This window comes from Homo sapiens, chromosome 14 (assembly GCF_000001405.40).
Source record: "Homo sapiens chromosome 14, GRCh38.p14 Primary Assembly".
Lineage (NCBI taxonomy): Eukaryota > Metazoa > Chordata > Mammalia > Primates > Hominidae > Homo > Homo sapiens.
The window spans coordinates 102632789-102655206 of NC_000014.9; the positions used below are offsets into that span (position 1 = coordinate 102632789).

General features: G+C 43.4%; 1 protein-coding gene across 2 annotated transcripts in view, besides 1 other annotated feature; it reads left to right on the forward strand.

Annotated features, from left to right (window-relative positions):
• The window catches only part of RCOR1 (REST corepressor 1), a 137913-nt gene that overhangs the window by 40140 nt on the left and 75355 nt on the right, over positions 1-22418 (forward strand). The gene's annotated exons all lie outside the window — the stretch shown is intronic.
• Positions 20480-20979: an enhancer, noted in NCBI's record as "H3K27ac hESC enhancer chr14:103119605-103120104 (GRCh37/hg19 assembly coordinates)". NCBI's record gives its function as "activates a minimal SCP1, AML or CMV promoter by ChIP-STARR-seq in primed H9 embryonic stem cells {active_cell/tissue: H9 hESC(primed)}" and the evidence as "EXISTENCE:reporter gene assay evidence [ECO:0000049][PMID:30033119]".

Sequence of the window (22418 nt, forward strand, 5' to 3'; positions counted from 1 at the left end):
CTCCTCTCTCGTCTCTCCTCTCCTCTTTCTTTTCTTTTTTTTGAGACAGGATCTCACTCTGTCACCTAGACTGAGTGCAGTGAAGTGATTATAGCCCCCTGCAGCCTCAAACTCCTGGGCTCAAGCAGTTCTCCCACTTCAGCCTCCTGAGTAGCTGAGACTATTTGTGCCACTACATCTGGCTAATTTTTAAATTTTTTTTACAGATGGGGGTCTCACTGTGTTGCCCAGGCTGATCTTAGACTCCTGGACACAAGCCATCCTCCTGCCTCAGCATCCCAAAAGTGCTGGGATTACAGGCATAAGCCACTGTGCCTGGCCAGCTGTTTTCAACCTATATGCTGACCTGGATCTAATCCTCTCATAAGATAAAATTTCACTCTGCTGATTAATCAGATCATTTTAAAGGTCTCATCTAGCTCTAAGAGACTCTAATAATCCAATAGAAAGTGGTTACAAACACCGAAAGTACAATTGGGAAGATATAATAAAGGCTTTCACAGTTCATATGTGATCTGGGGTCAGATGGGATTCAGGAAACTCCATACTTTGTGTTTTTCTAATATTAAAAAAATTTTTATATAGAGATGGGGTCTTGCCATATTATATTGCCCAGGATACTGTTGAACTCCCAGGCTCAACTGATTGTCCCTCCTTGGCCTCTTAAAGTGCTAGGATTACAGGCTTGAGCCACCATGCTTGGCTACCCCATAATTTGAAGGAGAGTTAGTTGCAATTAAAAATGGAGGTTTTTTTTTCTTTTCTCTTTGAGACGGAGTTTTGCTCTGTCACCCAGGCTAGACTACAATGGCATGATCTCAGCTTACAGCAACTTCTGCCTCCCGCATTGAAGCGATTCTCCTGTCTCAGCCTTCTTAGTAGCTGGAATTACAGGCGTTCGCCAACACGCCCGGCTAACTTTGTATTTTTAGTAGAGACAGGGTTTCACCATGTTGGCCAGGCTGGTCTCGAACTCCTGACCTCAGGTGATCCACCCACCTCAGCCTCCCCAAGTGCTGGGATTACAGGCATGAGCCACCGTACCCAGTCCTGGAGTTTGTTCTTAACAGAATATCAAATCTTGAGAAGTTGACTATAAAAGAAAATTCTAAAATTAAAAATTCTATTCTCTGTATAATACATAGAAGGTAGATTTTTGAGGTATGACATTTAAGATGTGAGGTGCCTCTAAAATGTACACATACATGCTTGTGTACTCCACGTAATTGTGCCTCAAGGAGGTAGGGTGAGGCTTTCTGTCTTTCCTGAAACATGTTACTCTTGTTCAGTGCTTGGAAAAAGGATGTGGTTAGATGGAGTACTGGCTTGATACAATTCTCTGTCTTGCCCAGGGTTGAGGGTGGTGTCAATGAAAATTCTCAATTTGAATGCCATGTAATAGGCTCCTTATTAATCCTGACTACAGTATAAAAAACAGGCTGGGCTTCATGGCTCACACCTGTAATCCCAGTGCTTTGGTTGGCCGAGGCAGGAGGGTCACTGGAGGCCAGGATTTCAAGGCTTCAGTGAGCTATATGATTATGCCACTGCACTCCATCCTGGGTGACAGAGCAAAACCCTGTCTCAAAAACCAACCAACCAACCAACCCGCAAAACCAAAACAGATCTCTCCAAGCTTCGGCAGATTTGAGTAATTATGTGATCTCTTCTTGACTGAACAAGTCACTTGTCAGATGAATATCTGGTTCCCACTATCTAGGGACAGAAGGTTCCCACTAACATTGATTTCAGGTAATGCATAACAAATAAATACTAAGTTTTTTGACATCTTTCCACAACATGTTTATATTACGTGTGTGTGTGTATGTATGTGTGTGTGTATGTGTGTATATATATATATATGTATATATATATACACACACACGTACATACATATATATATGTGTGTATATATATATATTTTTTGGGACAGAGTCTTGCTCTATCGCTCAGGCTGGAGTGCAGTGGCGCGATCTCGACTCACGACAACCTCTACCTCCCAGGTTCAAGTGATTCTCCTGCCTCAGCCTCCTGAGTAGCTGGAATTACAGGCACGTGCCACCATGCCTGGCTAATTTTTGTATTTTTTTTTTTTTTTAAGTACAGAAGGGGTTTCACCACGTTGGTCAGGCTGGTCTCAAACTCCTGACCTCAGGTGATCCGCCCACCTCGGCCTCCCAAAGTGATAGGATTACAGGTGTGAGCCACCATGCCTGGCCTTTTTTTAAAGAGATGGAGTCTGGCTGTGTTGGCCTGGTTGGTCTTGAACTCCTGGCCTCAAGCAGTCCTCCTGCCTTGGCCTCCTAAAGTGCTAGGATTACAGGCATGAGCCATTGCACCCAGTCCAATGTTTCCTAGTTTTTCTTATGCAAACTTTTAAATTCTTCTCAGTATATATGTCTAAAATCTTCTGTTACAAAAAAATACTGAAGCTGCTGCACACGGCGGCTCATGCCTATAATCCCAGCACTTTGGGCGGCCCAGGCGGGTGGATCACTTGAGGTCAGGAGTTTGAGACCAGCCTGGCCACCATGGTGAAAACCCATCTCTACTAAAAATACAAAAAGTAGCCGGGTGTCATGGCAGGTGCCTGTATTCCCAGCTACTCGGGAGGCTGAGGTGGGAGAACTGCTTGAACCCAGGAGGCGGAGGTTGCAGTGAGCTGAGATCACTCCACTGCACTCCAGTCTGGGTGACAGAGTGAGACTTTGTCTCAAAAAAGAAATGGAAGCAATGTATATTTATTAAAATATGTATATACATATACAGAAATGAGCTAAAAGTAGCTATATTATTATTAAAATTGTATGCAATAATGATTGCATAGCATGTTGGTATGAATATGACCATAATTTGACGCAAGTTGACACATTTTTTTTTCTAATATTCTGTATTACAACTAATCTGCATGGATTGTTTTTCTGCATGTAATCTCTGCTTACTTGGTTTAACTTTTTGGTCGAGTCCTGGAAGTGGAATTGGTGAATTAAAAATTTAGATATAAACTCCCAAATTGAGCCAGGCGTGGTGTCATGCACCTGTAGTCCTAGCTGCTAAGGTGGGAAGATCACTTATGCCCAGCAATTGCAGTGGGCTATGATTGAGCCATTGCACTCCAGCCTTGGTAATGCAGTGAGAAACATAAAAGTTTCTCCCTCCCTCCCTCCCTTCTGACAGAGAGTCTCACTCTGTCGCCCAGGCTGGAGTGTAGTGTCACCACTGCAACCTCCGCCTCCCAGGTTCACGCCATTCTCCCACCTCAGCCTCCTGAGTAGTTGGGACTACAGGCACCTGCCACCACACCCGGCTAATTTTTTGTTTTTGTATTTTTAGTAGAGATGGGGTTTCACCGTGTTAGCCAGGATGGTCTTGATCTCCTGACCTCGTGATCTGCCCGCCTTGGCCTCCCAAAGTGCTGTGATGATAGGCGTGAGCAACCACACCCGGCAGTGAGAAACTGTTTCTAAAAAAAATTTTTTTTAACGTAGAAATCTTTTCCTTTTTTTGAGATGGAGTTTTGCTCTTGTCGCCCAGGCTGGAGTGCAGTGGCGTGATCTTGGCGCACTGCAACCTCTGCCTCCTGGGTTCAAGCGATTCTCCTGCCTCAGCCTCCCAAGTAGCTGGGATTACAGGTGCCTGCCACCACACCCCGCTAACTTTTTGTATTTGTTTACTAGAGATAGGGTTTCACTATGTTGGCCAGGCTGGTCTCGAACTTCTGACCTCAGGCTATTTCTTCCCCCAGGGCCTCCCAAAGTGCTGAGAATACAGGTGTGAGCCACTGCGCCTGGCCATAGAAATCTTTTCATATGTTTGTAGATCATTCTTCTTTGAGTATTCTCTATTTTTTACCTTCACCCGTTTTACTGAGTTTCTTATTGGTTTATAAGAATTTTTTTTGCTGGGTGCAGTGGCTCACACCTGTAATCCCAGCCCTTTTTGGGGCCGAGGCAGGCGGATCACCTGAGGTCAGGAGTTCGAGACCAGCCTGGCCAACATGGTGAAACCCCCGTCTCTACTACAAATACAAAAATTAGCTGGGCATGGTGGTGCACGCCTGTAATCCCAGCTATTTGGAAGACTGAGGCATGTGGATCACTTGAACCCGGGAGGTGGAGGTTGCAGTGAGCTGAGATCGCACCATTGCACTCCAGCCTGGGTGACAAGAGTGAAACTCTGTTTCAAAAAAACAAAACAAAACAAAACAAAACTCTTTGCATATTGAAGGAACTTACTAGCAAGCCTTTTGACATAGACTTTGTAAATGTTTTTCTTTTGATGATTATATATATGGTTAGTTTGGCTGTGTACAAGTTTTTTTTGTTTGTTTGTTTGTTTTTTTATTTTTTTTTTTTTGAGACGGAGTCTTACTCTGTCGCCCAGGCTGGAGTGCAGTGGCACAATCTCGGCTCACGGCAACCTCCGCCTCCTGTGTTCAAGCGATTCTCCTGCCTCAGCCTCCCGAGTAGTTGGGATTACAGGCGCCCGCCACCATGCCCAGCTAATTTTTGTATTTTTAGTAGAGACGGGGTTTTACTATGTTGGTGAGGCTGGTCTCGAACCTCCTGACCTCAGTTGATCTACCTGCCTTGGCCTCCCAAAGTGCTGGGATTACAGACTTGAGCCACTGCACCTGGCCGCATATATATATTTTATTTTTTTATTTAAAAAAATGTTTCTGAGACAGGATCTCACTATGTTGCTGAGGCTGGAGTTCAGTGGTGTGATCATGGCCCACCGCAGCCTTGGCCTCCTGGGCTTAGGTGATCCTCCCATCTCAGCCTCCCAAGTAGCTAGGACCACAGGCACCATCGTGCTTGGCTAATGTTTAGTATTTTTTTGTAGAGTCGAGATTTTTGCCATGTTGCCCAGGTAGTCTCGAACTTAGGAGTTCAAAACGATTTGCCTGCCTTGGCCTCTTCAAGTGCTGAGATTACAGGCTTGAGTCACCTCACATGGCTGCAAAGCGATTTTTTTTGAGACACATTTAGTTTTTTCGGTGATGTCAGTAATTTTACAATTAAAGAAAAAGTTATCTGAACAAAGGGAGAGTGCCCTTAAATTGCTAAGAGGGAGCATTGCTTTGTTTTTTTCTAGTTTCGTTGTGTCTTACAGTGTTCAAACACTGTACTGGAAGTAAATAATTAAGTTTAAAATAATTTTCTTCTCCAGTGTTTGATTATCCATTTCTTTTTGTTCCAATTTCTGTATCTGAAAAACAATATTGGCTTCAAAAACGAACAAAAAAAAATTTAACTTCCCCCAGATTGCAGATTTACCATGTAAATGTGTTTCCACCCTGTTTTCAAGCTAATGTGACAAATTTGCTACATTATAAAGAACAGAAACCTGTGTACAGATTTTGGGGATAGCACACATAAAATAGTCCAAGGACATTATCAACTCAGGTGCAGAAGTTCTTGCTGAAGTTCTATTAACAATTGTGTTTAAAAACACCAGATGGGAGCAGATTTAAAGAGGGAGATTCTAATGGAAGGTTAGTTGGGATTTGTAGGGAAGAGAGAGAAGGATTTTAATTGAAAAGATACTAGACCGTATTCTTACCTTTATAGCGTTGTCTTCTTTTCTTTCTTTTCTTTTTTTTTGAGTCATATTTTCGTTCTTGTCACCCAGGCTAGAGTGCAGTGGTGTGATCTCGGCTCACTGCAACCTCAGCCTCCCGAGTAGCTGGAATTACAGGCCCCTGCCACCATGCCCAGCTCATTTTTGTATTTTCAGTAGAGATGGGGTTTTGCCATGTTGGCCAGGCTGGTCTCGAACTCCTGACTTCAAGTGAGCTACTGGCCTTGGTCTTCTCAAAGGTTGGGATTACAGGTGTGAGCCACCTCGCCTGGCCTATAGTAGTGTTTTTTTTTCTTTTCTTTTCTTTTTTTCTTGAGACGGAGTCTTGCTATGTTGTCCAGGCTGGAGTGCAGTGGCACAATCTTGGCTTACTGCAACCTCTGCCTCCCTGGTTCAAGCAATTCTGCTGTCTCAGTGAGTAGCTGAGATTACAGGTGCGAACCACCACATCCGGGTAATGTTTGTATTTTTAGTGGAGACGGGGTTTCGCCATGCTGGCCAGGCTGATCTCTAACTCCTGATGTCAGGTGCTCCGCCTGCCTCAGCCTCTGAAAGTGCTGGGATTGCAGGCGTGAACTACTGTGCCCAGCCTAGTAGTATTTTCTATCCAAGTTTTGGATGTAATTCTCTTGGGATTTTTTTCCTAATTTGTACAGCTACCACTGTACTGTTCATGACTGTATCCATGGGAACATAAGTAGGATGACATAAGTTTATAACTTGTTGCTAGGCAGATCTAGCTTGTAATGTATTAAGATTTTCCCATTAAAAAGCATTTGGATGGTTTTCTTTTGTGCGGTGAAGGTAACTAAACAGCGTAATTTGGAATTAAAACTGTGAAGTTGTATAAATTCCTTCTAGGAGAACCAACTACTCTTTGTTTTCTTTCTTTCTTTTTTTTTTTTTTTTTTGAGACAAGATCTCTTTTTGTCACCCAGGCTGGACTACAGTGACATGATCAGGTTTCACTGCAGCCTGGACCTCCTGGACACAAATGATCCTCCTACCTCAGCCTTCTCCTCCCCTTTACCAGCTCCTCCCCTTCCCTTCCCCAGCTCTCCCCCTCCAGTAGCTGGGAATACATGTATGCATCAGCATGTCTGGCTAATTAATTTATTTTTTAATTTTTATTTATTTATTTATTTATTTATTTATTTATTTATTTATTTATTTATTTATTGAGATGGAGTCTCGCTCTGTTGTCCAGGCTGGAGTGCAATGGCGTGATCTTGGCTCTTTGTATCTTCCTCCTCCTGGGTTCAAGAGATTCTCCTGCCTCAGCCTCCCTAGTAGCTGGGATTACAGGCACCTGCCATTATGCCTGGCTGATTTTTGTAGTTTTGTGGAGATGCAGTTTCACCATGTTGGCCGGGCTGGTCTTGAACTCCCAGCCTCAGAAGATCTGCCCACCTCAGCCTCCCAAAGTGCTGGGGTTACAGGTGTGACACTGAGCTCAGCCTATTCATTCATTCATTCATTCATTCATTCATTCATGAGACGGAGTCTCGCTCTGTCCCCAGGCTGGAGTGCAATGGCATGACCTCGGCTCACTGCAACCTCCGCCTCCTGGGTTCAAGTGATTCTCTGCCTCAGCCTCATGAGCAGCTGGGATTACAGGCATCTGCCACCACACCCGGCTAATTTTGTGTTTTTAGTAGAGATGGCGTTTCACCATGTTAGTCAGGCTGGTCTTGAATTCCCAACCTCAGGTGATCCGCCTGCCTCAGCTTCCCAGAGTGCTGGGATGACAGGCGTGAGCCGCCACACCCAGCCATATATATATGTATTTTTTATTTGAGTTTGCGTTTTGCCGTGTTGCCCAGGCTGGTCTTGAACTCCGGAATTTCAGATCGCCCACCTCAGCCTCCTAAAGTGCTGGGAGCCGCTGTGCCCAGCCTAGTCATGTTTTTAATTAATTGAATGTCTGAAATGGAAGATAATGAGTTAAAATAATTGTGTCTTAAGCCTGTCCTCTTCAGCTAAAACAGTCAGTATTTAGATATGTATGAACGAGATGTGAACACTTGATCCATCCTAAAGTACATAGCAGATTTCAAGATGATGACAGGTATCTTGGGTAGTTCTTCCGACTCTCAAAGACTTGGTGGACTAACCAAGAAAACCTCATGGAGATCGAGACACCTGTCTTGTATTTTGGTTGCAATTTTTTAAAATTAATTTTTAAAAAATGTAATATTAGTGTAAAATAACTAAATTTCAAAAAAGTTTAGAATGAGATGTAATTGAGGTCACATAGCTCTTTTCTGCAGAGGCTATCACACTTAACACCTTATCTGATTGTAATTTAAAGAATTTTTTGAGGCTGGACACGTTGGCTCACGCCTGTAATTCCAGCATTTTGGGAGACTGAGGTAGGAGGGACACTTGAGCCCAGCCTGGGCAACATAGTGAAACCCCGTCTTACAGAAAATTAAAAAATTAGCTGGCTGTCGTAGTGTGCACCTCTGGTTCCAGGTACTTTGGAGTCTGAAGTGGGAGGATCACTTGAGCCAGGGAGGTTGAGGCTGCAGTGAACTGCCATTGCACTCCAGCCTGGGTGACAGAGCAAGATCCCTGTCTCAGAAGAAAAACAGAAAAGAGGCTGGGTGTGGTGGCTCACGCCTGTAATCCCAGCACTTTGGGAGGCTGAGGCAGGTGGATCACGAGGTCAGGAGATCGAGACCGTCCTGGCCAACATGTTGAAACCCCATCTCTACTAAAAATACAAAAAAAATTAGCTGGGCTTGGTGGCGCGTGCCTGTGGTCCCAGCTACTTGGAAGGCTGAGGCAAGAGAATTGCTTGAACCCGGAAGGTGGAGGTTGCAGTGACCCGAAATTGCACCACTGCACTCCAGCCTTGCGGCAGAGTGAGACTCGGCCTTAAAAAAAAAGAAAACCAGAAAAGAATTATGTAAGCAGTTATTCAATAATAAATAATATTTATGCAGCTGGGCACAGTGGTTCACACCTGTAGTCCTAGCACTTTTGGAGGCTGAGGCGGGTGGATCACTTGAGCCCAGGAGTTCGGGACCAACCTGGGCAACATGGCAAAACCCCATCTCTACAAAAAGTACAAAAATTAGCCGGTTATGGTGGTGTTCTCCTTTAGTCCCAGCTATTCAGGAAGCTGAGGTGGGCGGATCACTTGTGCCCAGGAGGTTGAGGCTGCAGTGAGCCAAGATGTCGCCACTGCACTCCAGTCCCAACAACAGAGTGAGACCCTGTCTCAATTAAAAAAAAAATAATAATATTTATGCCGTTTTTTTGTACCAGCTACTATGATAGGTGCTTTATAGGACAATTTGGGGAAGTAATTGCTGTTAACTCCATTTTACTCATATAAGGAAAGTGACGCTTGCACAAGGTTTAATATTTCTTGCCCACTAACATGTATGCTTCAAGAAAGCAGGGGCTATGTGTTACTTCTGTCTAGCCCCCTCCTGTATCTAGCATAGTTTCTTTGGGGTTTGGGTAGTGTGTCAAATACAGTGGAAAGGCTGGTTTTACAAAGATGATTGTTGTATCTTCATTTATTACCTTTGAACTTGTAGCTTCATAGGGAAATCATGGGAATTTGAGCAGCACTGAATCTGCATGTATTAAAAAAACTTGCATCATTTCTGGATTTCATGTGGTGAATATTTGATAGTACCTCTCGTGATTTGATAAGGTCCATTATTTGGGGACAAGGGTGGTTAACATAGGGATTGATGGAATTGTGACTCCATTCTGTTGTGGCGTGTTTAGTTTTTACCTCTTTCCCTTTACTCCTCGTGCCCCAGCTGCGTCTGTGTCCATTGTCCTTTCAGTTTCTTACTCTAATTGAAAGAATACATAGGTAAAGAAGGAATCTGATAGAAGGAATAAACTTCTTTGACGGTATTAACAAGTGTCTGATCTTGATTAGTGTAAGTTGTATTCAGTGCCTCATGTTTCTTACCTTTGAATTGTAGAAAATAAAATTTTAGATCTGGTTAAGATTCTTGAGATTATTTGGCAGGAGGAAATTGAAGCGCAGTTCAGTTCCATAGAATGTTGTTGAATGCGTTTCTTCATTTGTTAAGAGTGATAATATTTGTCTCATAGGGTTGATACAAGGAGGAAGAGATACTCTTTATAAAAAAGTCTTAGGCCGATTTGATGATAATACTAATAGTTAAACTTGTTCAGAAGTTAATCTGGGCTGGGCATGGTGGCTCACACCTGTAATTTCAGCACTTTGGGAGGCAGAGGTGGGAAGGATCGCTTGAGCCCAGAAATTCCAGACCAGCCTGGGCAACAAAGTGAGACCTCGTCTCTATAAAAATTATAAAAATAAGCCGGGTATGGTGGCACATGCCTATGGTCCCAGGTACTCGGGATGCTGAGATGGAAGGATCACATGAGCCCAGGAAGTCGAGGCTGTGGTGAGCTATGATCATTGCCACTGCACTCCAGCCTAGGTGACAGAGTGAGACCCTGTCTATTAAAAAAAGTTAGTCTGTGTTAGCATAGTATCGGCAGAAAAGTATTCTGACACAGTATAGGAGGGATCAGGGTATGGGGGAATGAGTCAGGAAGGCCATTTTAAAGATTTTACAGTGTCCTAAACTTGATAGTGAAGGCTAAGCATTAGAAATGGAAGAGATTGGCTGGGCGCAGTGGCTCACGCCTGTAATCCCTGCACTTTGGGAGGCCGAGGCGGGCAGATCACGAGGTCAGGAGATCAAGACCATCCTGGCTAACACGGTGAAACCCTGTCTCTACTAAAAACACAAAAAATTAGCCGGGCGTGGTGGCGGGTGCCTGTAGTCCCAGCTACTTGGCAGGCTGAGGCAGGAGAATGGCGTGAACCCGGGAGGCGGAGCTTGCACAGTGAGCCCAGATCATGCCACTGCACTCCAGCCTGGGCGACAGAGCGAGACTCCGTCTCAAAAAAAAGAGGAATGGAAGAGATTAGAAAAGATGTGAACAAACCTTATAGAGCTTCCAGGAAAGGAAGAAAGGTAAAAACATTGAGATTTGGAATGTTGAGTAATGGGATAGTATAAACAGTATAGCAGTATAGAGATGTCACTAATGTTTTAGAAACTGAAATAATAGATTAATGCATGGTAATTACCTTGCCAGAACTGAAAAGCGGTGGTAGTGATGCTGGAGGAAGCAGATTGCTGCTGCAGAACTGCAGCAAGGCCTAGGAGGTGGAGGCACCAGGTATCTTCAGAGGCCCAGGTGTGGTGTGGTTGGCCCTAAGCTGATGGGCTGACTGAAAGTCTCCAGGAATTCTTCCTGTCTCTAGATTATGCTTCATTCCAGCAGTCCAGGAATTAGACTTTCCCTAGCCTAGCACAAGACAAGTTTACTTTTGGTAGAGTTTGAACCAGAGCTGTACCCTAGACTTGAAATGGGGAGGACGGGTGGAAACTATCTGGACGTGGTGGGGGAGACGTATCTATGAAGTGAAAGTTTGTATATTGAATGGTCATTCCAGAATTCTTAATAGCCTGGCTTATACTCTCCAGCAAATTAGAAGGTTCTTCTTTGGGAGAAAACTGGCCCAGATGCTAACAATTGAGTGTTACCCTGTATTCCAGTTATTACCGCCTAACAACTGTTGCTGTTACTATTGTCTTTAAACAACAACAATCGTTTTATTATCTCACACTTTCTGGTGATGAGGATTTAGGAAGACATCAGTTGGGCAGCTCTGGCTTGGGTTTCTCTGACTTAAGTTGTGTTCACATGGTGGCTGGAGCTGAACAGTAGGGTGCTGAAGTGGCCTTGGCTGGCCAGACAGCTTTCTTCCTGGTGTCTCAGCATGGGCTGATTTGTGCTCCTCACAACATTATGGCCTCTGACTGCTTACAAGAAAGTGCAGGCTTCCAAAGCAAGTATCGCAAGAAAACTGACTATTAACTGATTCACTTTTCATGACCCAGCCTCGGAAGTCACATAGGCTCCTTTCCGATGTAGTCACAAGTCTAGTCAGCTTCAAGGGCAGGGAACATAGATTCCATCTCTTGGTAGGAGTACAGAAGTGGAATTGCAGTCAGAGTGTAAGGGGTCCCTGTGGGATGACATGAGAAACATTCTGTGACCACCTTTGGAAAACACAATCTACCACATTTTCTCATTTGGTCACAATAATTCACATTCCTCCTTCTTGTCACTTGTGCTCACACCCTCTCCCATCACATCGCTCCCCCTTCCTGCTATGGCATTAACTTCAAGTTCAGCATCTTGTCACCTGAATCAAGCCCAGTTGTGGCCACCCAAAGCTCCTCAGGTGTGGTTCCTCTAGAGCTGAACTCATGTGACGTCAAGAGAAGGAATCTGTTGCTTCCTCTGACTTAAAATGGCAGGACAAGCTTAGGATAATTGCTGTAGACACATCTGCCCAGAAAAGAGGAAACAGGAGGCACAGTAGTTTCTCATCCATTGCCATTCTGAAATTCAGCAGGGCACACGTTACCAATTCCTTGATTTGGTCTCAGTTCTGGTGCCTGGGAATGATTGTTTCAGGCTCTGGTTTCTGCTGAGAATTTTGTTTTGTCTTCTGAGTTACCCTTTTCCCTAAGAAATGGCTGATTTTTATAGCTGAGTAGTTTTCTTAGCCTTTGTGCTTTCGGTAGTTTTGGAGGAACAAAAAAACCTTCCCCTCATTTTGTACTGTTTTTGTCTCTTTCAGTCCAAACTGGTATAATTCCTTTGAAAATTTTGTGGGCTCTCTCTGTGTCAATTTGTAACCTACTACATTAGACAGGAACCACACTTAGCCTGTTTGTGGTAGGTCCTTCATTTCCTTGGGCTCCTTGTGTGTCACCAGCCTTAGTATTCTTAGAAGCCCTGTTGTTTGATGGAGAGGATCTTAAAATCCTTAGAAGGCTCTTGGTCTCTTGGAAAGGACAGTGCAGAACCTTCTTAGATCTTTTTGAGGTTTTAAGAAAGTATTACAGTCACAGTCTGGGTTTGTTCTTTACCACTGAGAATTTTGAGAATTGTTTCTTTTTTTAAAATTCTGCCTGGAAATATCCTTAGGTAGATCATGGAGTTTATTAGGTGCATTTCCTGTTTTCCACATTTCTAAAGGCCACATTTTCCACTACTTAGACAACAGGGGACCCTTTTCCTGTAATGTACAATAGTAGTTTTCATAGTTTCTATTAAGCTTTTCCTGATAGTTTCCTTGTTGAGGCCCTTCAGGCTTTTGCTGATAGCCTCTTAAAGGCCTTGCAATTTCCACCTGCCACCCAGCCCCAAAGCCAGTAGCACAGTTCTGGGTTTTTGTTGCAGCATCTCACTTCCAGGTGCCAAAATCTGTTCCTTAGTCTTGCTGCCTGAAAAATGACCCCCAAAAGTTAGTGACTTAAAATAATTCCGTGATTTCTGTAGGTCAGGAATTTAGGAAGAGCTTGATTGGGCAATTGTGGCTCAGGTTCTTGCTTTGGCTGCAGTCAGATGGTAGAGCTGAAGAGTAGTGCACAGGCAAGGCAGTGTGCACAGCTGGAGAGGGCCGAGCTGAGCCGCCTCCACAAGGTCTCTGTGTGAATTTGTTTGTGCTGCTTCTTCAGGGCACTCAGACTGCCCACATAGCTTTGTGTCCAAATGTATGTCCTGTGGGAGGATGAGCAGAATCTGTATTACCTTTTATGATGACTTAGTCTTGGAAGTTACATCACATCATTTCTGCTCTAGTCAACAACTTGCCTGGGGTTCTAGGGGAGGAAAACAGACCTCATATCTTAGTGTCAGTTGGCCACACTGTAAGAAGGTGATATGGGGTGGGAGATAATGTGATCAGCTCTAGAAAAATGTAATCCACCATAGCTCTTAGTGAAACAGTTACATCCCTGTCTGATCACCTTGCAGGGGAGTCTTGCCATTAATAAGCACCAGCTGTGTATGTGACATTAAAACTTACTTTTTAGTACTTCCTTCTTAACTGTGACTTAACAGTCAAGGATTATCAGGCACATGAAGAAAAAGCCATAACAGTCTAACACAGACAGATAAAAAGAAACCAAGTGAAGAAATAGGAAATACAGGTTGCATAAGAAAAGCTCAAATTTGAAAAAACAAAAAAGCTTGAAGAGCTAAGAGAAAATGCATGACATAAAAGCAAGAAGGTATAAAGTAGGGGTCCATTCAGAGAACAAGAAAGAGCTCTTGGAAAATAGGATTGCAGGACAAATTTTCAATAGGAAACCAAGGAAATCTTCCAGAAAGTAGTAGGCAAAGACAGACAAAAAGAGAAAGACAATGCCTGATTGGCTTCTTGACTGAAACATATTTAGGTGGGAAGAGGAAGTGTGGAAATGTGAATAAGGACTGTATACTAATGATAATGAATTAATATTAATTTTTGCTTAAGTGTGATAATAGCACTGTGGTTATAGAGGAGAATGCCCTTAGGCTTAGAAGATGCATACTAAAGGAACTGTCATGATATTTGCATTTTTCAGATGGTTGTGTGCACACACGTGCGCTCACACACAGTGGGAGAGGGAGGGAGAAGGGAGAGCGGTTATGTACAAGAGAGACAACTAAAGCAATTATGATATAATATTAGTAATTGATGATGAATACAAAAACAAAACAGAAGGGAATACTTTAGAGTTAATGGATTGGTTCAGGAGCTCCAACATCTGCACTGTTAGATGTTCTAGAGAGAGAAAAGATAATTGAGAGGAAACAATATTAAATCAACACATTAAAAATGTTCAGAAGTGAAAATCACAAATCTCCACATTGAGCAGACCCACTGAGTGCCCAGCGCAGGGAATAAAAGAAAAAATAGATTGGTACATCACACTGAGATTTCAGAACACTGAGAATAGAGAAGATCTCAAAATCCTCCAGTGGAAGCAAGTCAAGTTACAGCAGTGGACTGAGAATCTGTATGACACTAGAATCTAGGTGACAGTGGAGCAGTGTCCTCAGAATTCTAGGAGCATACCCATCTAGGATTTTTTTTTCTTCTTTTTTGAGATGGAGTCTCGCTCTTTCGCTGGGCTGGAATGCGGTGGTGTGATCTCGGCTCACTGCACCCTCCGCCTCCTGGGTTCAACCAGTTCTCCTGCCTCAGCCTCCCAAGTAGCTGGGGTTACAGGTGTGGACCACCATGCTTGGCTAATTTTTTGTATTTTTAGTAGAGACGGGGTTTCCCCACCATGCTGGCCAGGCTGGTCTTGAACTCCTGACCTCATGATCTGGCCACCCCAGCCTCCCAAAGTGCTGGGATTACAGGCGTGAGCCACTGCACCTGGCCCAATTTAGGATTCTATGCCAAACTGTAGTATGAACATAAAGACATCTTTATTTTTATTTATTTATTTTATTTATTTTTGAGACGGAGTCTCCATCTGTCGCCCTGGCTGGGGCCCAGTGGCAAGATCTCCACTCATTGCAGCCTCCGCCTCCCGGATTCAGGGAGTTATCCTGCCTCAGCCTCCTAAGTAGTTGGGACTACAGACGCGTGCCACCACACCTGGTTAATTTTTGTATTTTTAGTAGAGACGGAGTTTTGCCATGTTGACCAGGCTGATCTCAAACTTCTGACCTCAAGTGAGCCGCCTACCTTGTGCTCCCAAAGTGCTGAGATCACAGGCATATACCACCATGCTCGGCCTATTATTTTTAATTTGATGGTCATATTATTCCAGATTTGGCCAATGGGATTTCCTTCAAGCTGACTCCTGTGTCCTTTTGACAAATATCTATAATCCTTTATTTATTTTTATTTTTTTGAGACAGAGTCCTGTTCTGTCACCCAAGCTGGAATGTAGTGGCGTGATCTCGCCTCACTGCAACCCCCGCCTCCCGGGTTCAGACAATTCTCCTGCCTCAGCCTTTGGAGTAGCTGAGATCACAGGCATGCGCCACCACACCTGGCTAATTTTTGTATTTTTAGTAGAGACGGGGTTTCACCATGTCGGCGAGGCTGGTCTTGAACTCTTGATCTCAGGTGATCTGCCTGCCTTGGCCTCCCGAAGTGCTGGGATTACAGGCATGAGCCATTGCACCTAGCCCTCTATAATCCTTTAAATGCTTGTTTATGGTATCTTAGAATATTTCAAATTTATCTTGTATGTTCTCTGCCTCATCCTGGAGTCAACTGTTTGTCTAAGGAGGAGCCATTCTCTTGAAGTGGAGAATAGTATTATAGAAACCAATATCTTGGCACTAGCTGTATTTATTGCTGCCAGGATATTGTTGTTTTCAGCCCTCTTAGTGGGCAGAACAAGTAGATCTATGTGTATTTATTTATTAGACATATTTATTGTCTATATCTCTGCCTACACATATATATAACCATGAATTTTACCACAAATGCCACCATTTTGATCCAACATCATAGGATTCATTTTAGCCCTTTTCCTTTCCTTATTTGTAGCTCTCGTCTCTGACAGTGAGAATCTTGGTTCTCATCCTTAATATAGTTACTCATTTGCTTAATCTCCCTGAAAGCTTGGCCCAGACATGGAATCCAGCAAAGGATAAGGTGAAGGGAATTCTTAAAGAGAAATCTTGGGATAATAGCTGTGTAGGCATTCACCAGTTAGTCCAGATTGGTGAGTGAAGACAGGGCTCCAAAGGGGTGTTGTCAAGAAATAAACAACCAATAGATAGCCTGATGTGTTGAGACTTACACATGTAGTAGAAGTTTGGAGGTGAATTAGTGATACATATACAGAAAACCAAACAAGCAAAAAAAACAAAAAAAAAATAGAATTATTAATTCCAGGTAAAAAAATCACACATAATCACACCACTGAACTCTGGCCTGGGTGACAGAGTGAGACCCTGTCTCTTAACAAACATAAATTAAAAATCAGGTAAAACAAATTGTACAAGAATGGACTTACAACAACAGAATGCAACAGGATTCAGCTATGAATAGTATTTACTAGTCATAAACTACGAGAGTGCCATAACACTGAACTTAGGGAGCAATTTAGGGAATAAACTGAGAAAAAAAGTACACAGGGGCCTTAGGACCTAAGCAGCTAGTGTGATATCACTTGTGGATGTTTAGTATGCATTTTGGGTACCAGCCCCTTTTGAACACTGTCTTTGAGGGGAAATTGTCCACTCCACAGTAGAAGCTATTAATATGTTTTCCCATCCTCTCTTGTAGTTTGTCATAGATGTGTGACTTCTATTCCATGCACCAGGGCAAGACTAGGATTAGGAAGCAAGTGATGTGAAGTAGACAAGCATGGCTGCCAGGTTTCAGAGGCAGCGTTTTCTAGCGGTGGTGTCCACTATGCACTGCCAAGTGTCCTTGTGTTTAACACCTGCAGCAGTTAAGACCTCCACTGAAGCAGTTCTGTGGGGTAATTCTGGTGTTGTCCTAGTTGCATGGCTTGTAAATCTGGTTTGATGACCTTCCTGTAGAGCCATTTAGTTGCTTATATTAGCTAGAATGGGCTTTGTTTACTGTAAAAAATCTGGTTGACGAAATTGGCATTAGGAATGATCCTCAAGAAAATGAATTGGTTATCTAACTTGGTTGTGTATGAAGGCAGTGAAGAAAGGTGAGAGCTTAAAGAATCATAGTGGCCTTGGGCCGGGCGCGGTGGCTCACACCTGTAATCCCAGCACTTTGGGAGGCCGAGATGGGCGGATCACGAGGTCAGGAGATGAGACCATCCTGGCTAACATGGTGAAACCCCGTCTCTACTAAAAATACAAAAAGTTAGCCGGGTGAGGTGGCGGGCACCTGTAGTCCCAGCTACTCAGGAGGCTGAGGCAGGAGAATGGTGTGAACCTGGGAGGTGCAGCTTGCAGGGAGCCGAGATCGCACCACTGCACTCCAGCCTGGGCGACAGAGCGAGACTCCACCGCAAAAAAAAAAAAAAAAAGAATCATAGTGGCCATGGGCATGGTGGCTGGTGCCCATAATCCTGGCACTTTGGGAGGCTGAGGTGGGAGAATCACTTGAGGTCAGGAATTAGAGGCCTGCAGTGAGTGCCACTGCACTTCAGCCTGAGGGACAGAGCACAGAGCAAGATCCTGCTTCAATAAATGGATGGATGGGTGGGTGGGTGGGTGGGTGGATGGAGGAATCATAGTGATCAGCAGTGCTTAATGACTGAGATTAGTCTATTCTGAAGTATGTTAATAAAGCTTGAAGGATCAGAGGAAGAGAGTAGGAAAAAAGCACACACATTCTACAAACCTCGCCACATCCACTCAGTTAAAAGACAGAACAGGATTCCCTTGGATGTTGGGAAAGGGAAGTCAGACGTGAAAGTTGTAGACAGGATTAAGCCACTTAATTTTCCTATTAAATGGACTCTAGAGAGTAAGTTCATGCTTCTCATTTTACTGATGGAGAAGCAGTACCACATACTTGGTGAAATTCCTGTGTCTGCAAAACATTGGTTATTCTGCAATTGTTATATATAAAGGGATAAACATTGAAGTTATTGGTCTCTTCCTTCTCATTGGTATTGTGGGTGTTCTTTACCAACTGAGTTAGGAACTGACTTGAGATATTTTAAACTTACGGGACTTGATTTAGAGCACTTACTCTTAGATGTTAAATATTTGGTTTGCTCTTTATTGAATAACTTAATTATCTTATTACTAATAATTCCTGTATTAGACAATGAGACTTAGACTCATAATAGAATACAGGTATCTTAATGAGAATGTTCTCATTTAAAACACTAACTCCTAATTCACTAGCAGCTAATAAAACTAACATTGTTGCACAGTACATTGTTGACTAGTTAGAAGAATTTGACAGTATGTTTGGTGCTGAGACCAGCTCGGTCGGGGAGACCCTAACCCAGCGGCGCTAGAGGAATTAAAGACACACACACACAAATATAGAGGTGTGAAGTGGGAAATCAGGGGTCTCACAGCCTTCAGAGCTGAGTATTGCTATTAATAAAGGGTGTAGAATTTGAAAATAGGCCAGGCGTGGTGGCCCACGCCTGTAATCCCAGCACTTTAGGAGGCCGAGGAAGGCGGATCATGAGGTCAGGAGGTTGAGATGAGCCTGACCAACACAGTGAAACCCCGTCTCTACTAAAAATACAAAAATTAGCTGGGCGTGGTGGCGGGTGCCTGTAATCCCAGCTGCTCAGGAGGTTGAGGCAGGAGAATTGCTTGAACCTGGAAGGCAGAGGTTGCAGTGAGCCGAGATTGCGCCACTGCACTCTAGCCTGGGCAACAGAGTGAGACTCCATCTCAAAAAAAAAAAAGAAAAAGAAAAAAGAATTTGAAAATAGCTTGAGAGACTAGAGAAGAAGTGAACTGATTTATTTTATATTTATGTATCTTATTTTTTGGCTTGTTGACCAGAAGTGAATTGATATGAATAAGCACACTTGCAAAATAAATGGGTTATTTATTTATTTATAGAGACAGGGTCTTGCTTTGTTTCCCAGGCTAGAGTACAGTGGCACCATCATAGCTCACTACTGCTGCTGGCAACTTCTGGGCTCAACGGGTCCTCCTGTCTTGACCTCCCAAAGTGCTGGGATTATAGGCATGAGCCGTCATGCCTGGCCCCCTAATTATTTAGATAGCCCTGTAGACCTGATTTCTTGTGGCTGAAGGTCTCTCAAATTGATTCTCAGTAGGCTTCATAAATAAAAGGGAACTTACACTGGAGGATCTTTATGCTGAATTGGCTTAGAATAAGTAGAAATTGCTAGGAATGTTTTATTTTTGTTTATTTAATTTGCTAAATCTGCTTTAGATATGAGCCTTGTAACTGGATTTCTTAAAAGTGTCCTTATGATTGAATCTATTTGTGGTGTTTGGATTGATTATTTTAAGTTCCTACTATGTACCAGACGTTTGCTACTTGTTTTAACTTGCTGTTTAATCTCTTTGAAGAAGGAACTGTTTCCTCCATTTTTATAGAAGAGAAAATTGAAACTTAAAGAGATTAGAGAACTCTCCTTCAGTCTAGGCAGAGCTGGGATTCCATTTCAGGACTGTTATGCTACACCAAATAAATGCTTGCTGCGTTAAAGAATGACTTAACAGTGAACACCTTAAGTCTTCATTGCCCAGTTACGTGAATGGAAGAAAGGCTGAGCAGTGAATTACAAACACTCTCTCCTCTAGTCTTCTGGCAGTGTTCCTTTACCTAATTCTGTGTCCTCAAACGCCCTGTTTTCTTTAGGTGATTATATTATTTGTTTCTTTTAAGCTTGCCTGTCTGCTTGTTCTTCTGAACAGTTCCCTTCAAATGTTACACCATCCACCCACATCTGTATTTCAGTATTTTATTGTGTCCTTTCATTGAGACTCTAATTTGGGTGAAAATTCTCCAAACTACATTTCTTTTTAGCATATTCTATTTTTGTCACCTAGAATCAGCCTCCCAGCTGACTTTTTCCCATAGATACGTAACAACCACCTGCTTTAACATTTTCTATCTTCCACTTAACAAAAATATTACTGTTGATAAATAATGAATACTTAGCATGTATAACTGTGCAAATAAAATGGGAGGAATGTGTATCGGGAAGATTTGAGGGGAGTGTGGATAAAAAACTGTTTGAAAATACCAGCTGTTGAATTTTATAGTGTTACTCTTTTTATTTTTATTTTTTAGTTTTATTATTACTATTTTTTGAGATGGAGTTTCGCTTTGTCGCCAGGCTGGAGTGCAGTGACGTGATCTTGGCTCACTGCAACCTCTATCTCCTGGGTTCAAGCGATTCTCCTGCCTCAGCCTCCCGAGTAGCTGGAACTAGAGGCGCGCGCCAGCCAATTTTTGTATTTTTAGTAGAGACAGGGTTTCACCATGTTGGCAAGGATGATCTCGATCTCTTGACCTCATGATCTTCCTGCCTCGGCCTCCCAAAGTGCTGGGATTACAGGCGTGAGCTACTGCACCCAGCCTATTATTATTTTTTAATTGAGACTTGTCTTACTTTCACCCAGGCTGGAGTGTAGTGGTGCAATCTTGCCTCACTGGAGCCTCCGCCTCCTGGGCTCAATCGATCCTCCCACCTCAGCCTCCTGAGTAGCTGGGACCACAGGCACTCGCTACCGTGCCCAGCTAATTTTTTCTATTTTTGGTAGAGACAGGGTTTTGCCACGTTGTCCAGGCTGGCCTCGGCTTCCCAAAGCGTTGGGATTACAGGCATGAGCCACCACGTGCAGCCTATAGTGTTATTCTTTAGTAGTTCCTAAAAGGCTTGTGTTAGATGTTTATAGCTGATAGTTGTGGTTTGAATCTGTGTCCCCAGCCAAATCTTGTGTCGAATTGTCATCCCCAGTGTTGGAGGTGGGGGCCCATGATTGGATCATGGGGGTGGATATCCCCCTTGGTGCTATTTTCATGATAGTGAGTGAGCTCTCGGGCGATCGGGTCGTCTAAAAGTGTGTAGCACCTCCCTCTTGTCTCTCTTGCTCCTCCTCTGGCCATGTTATATGTGCTTGCTTTCCCTTTGCCTTCCACCATGATTATAAGTTTACTGAGGCCTCCCTAGAAGCTGAGCAGATGCCAGCATCATGCTTCCTGTACAGCCTGCAGAACCTTGAGCCATTGAAACCTCTTCTCTTTATAAATTACCTAGTCTCATCTCAGGTATTTCCTTCTTTCTTTCTTTCTTTCTTTCTTTCTTTCTTTCTTTCTTTCTTTCTTTCTTTCTTTCTTTCTTTTTTTTTTTTTTTTTTTTGAGACGGAGTCTGGCTCTGTCGCCCAGGCCGGAGTGCAGTGGTGCGATCTCCACTCACTGCAAGCTCTGCCTCCCGGGTTCACGCCATTCTCCTGCCTCAGCCTCCCGAGTAGCTGGGACTACAGGTGCCTGCCACCACGCCTGGCTAATTTTTTGTATTTTTAGTAGAGACAGGGTTTCACCGTGTTAGCCAGGATGGTTTCGAACTCCTGACCTCAGGTGATCTGCCCGCCTCAGCCTCCCAAAGTGTCGGGATTACAGGTCTGAGCCATTGCGCCCGGCCAGGTATTTTTTTATAGCAGTGTGAGAACAGACTAATACAATAGCCATCATGTAAAATACAGTTTCCATTTTGAGCCAGGCACTTGGGTAAAAATGAAGAGTAGGTAAAAGACAAGATGTAGTTCTAATTTGAGCTTGTCATTTAGTATTTGAGTAATGCCGCATAATGGCTGTGGGTTTCCGATGACACACACCTTTTCATGATGTGGGTGGCCTAGGGAGTAGTGTGTTTGTTGGAACCACAGTTCTCTGCAGAGGGAATATGATTAAGTCTGATCTTTGTAATTTAGAATTAATGAGGCCAGGCGCACTAGCTGACACCTGTAATACCAGCACTTTGAGAGGCGAAGATGGGGAGGATCACTTGAGCCTGAGTTTGAGACCAGCCTGGGCAAGATAGTGAGAACCTGTCTCTACAAGAAAATAAAGAAAAAAATTTTTAAAAAAAGAAAAAAAATATAGAATTGGTATCTTGGCCACACCTCTTTCCCTGTGGTTGAGTTTTTTTTTTTTTTTTTTTTCCTGTTCTTTTCCTTTTTTTTTGAGACAAGATCTCTTCGTCACCTAGGCTGGAGTGCAGTGACATGATCAAGGCTTGCTGCAGTGTCAGTCTCCTGGGCTTAAAGGATCCTCCTGTCTCAGTCTCCCAAGTAGCTGGGACTGGAGGTAGGTGACACTAGCCTGGCTCACTTTAAAAACATTTTTTGTAGAGATAAGGTCTTGCCATGTTGCCCAGGGTGGTCTCAAACTCCTGGCCTCAAGCCATCCTCCCTCCTCAGCCTCCCAAAGTGCTGGGGTCTCTGGCATTCACCACCGCGGACAACCTTTTTTTTTTTTTTTTTTTTTTTTTAAGCTAAATTTTGTTGAATATTTGGATAGGCAATACAGGCATATGGTACAAAATTAAAAGATGCAAAAGGG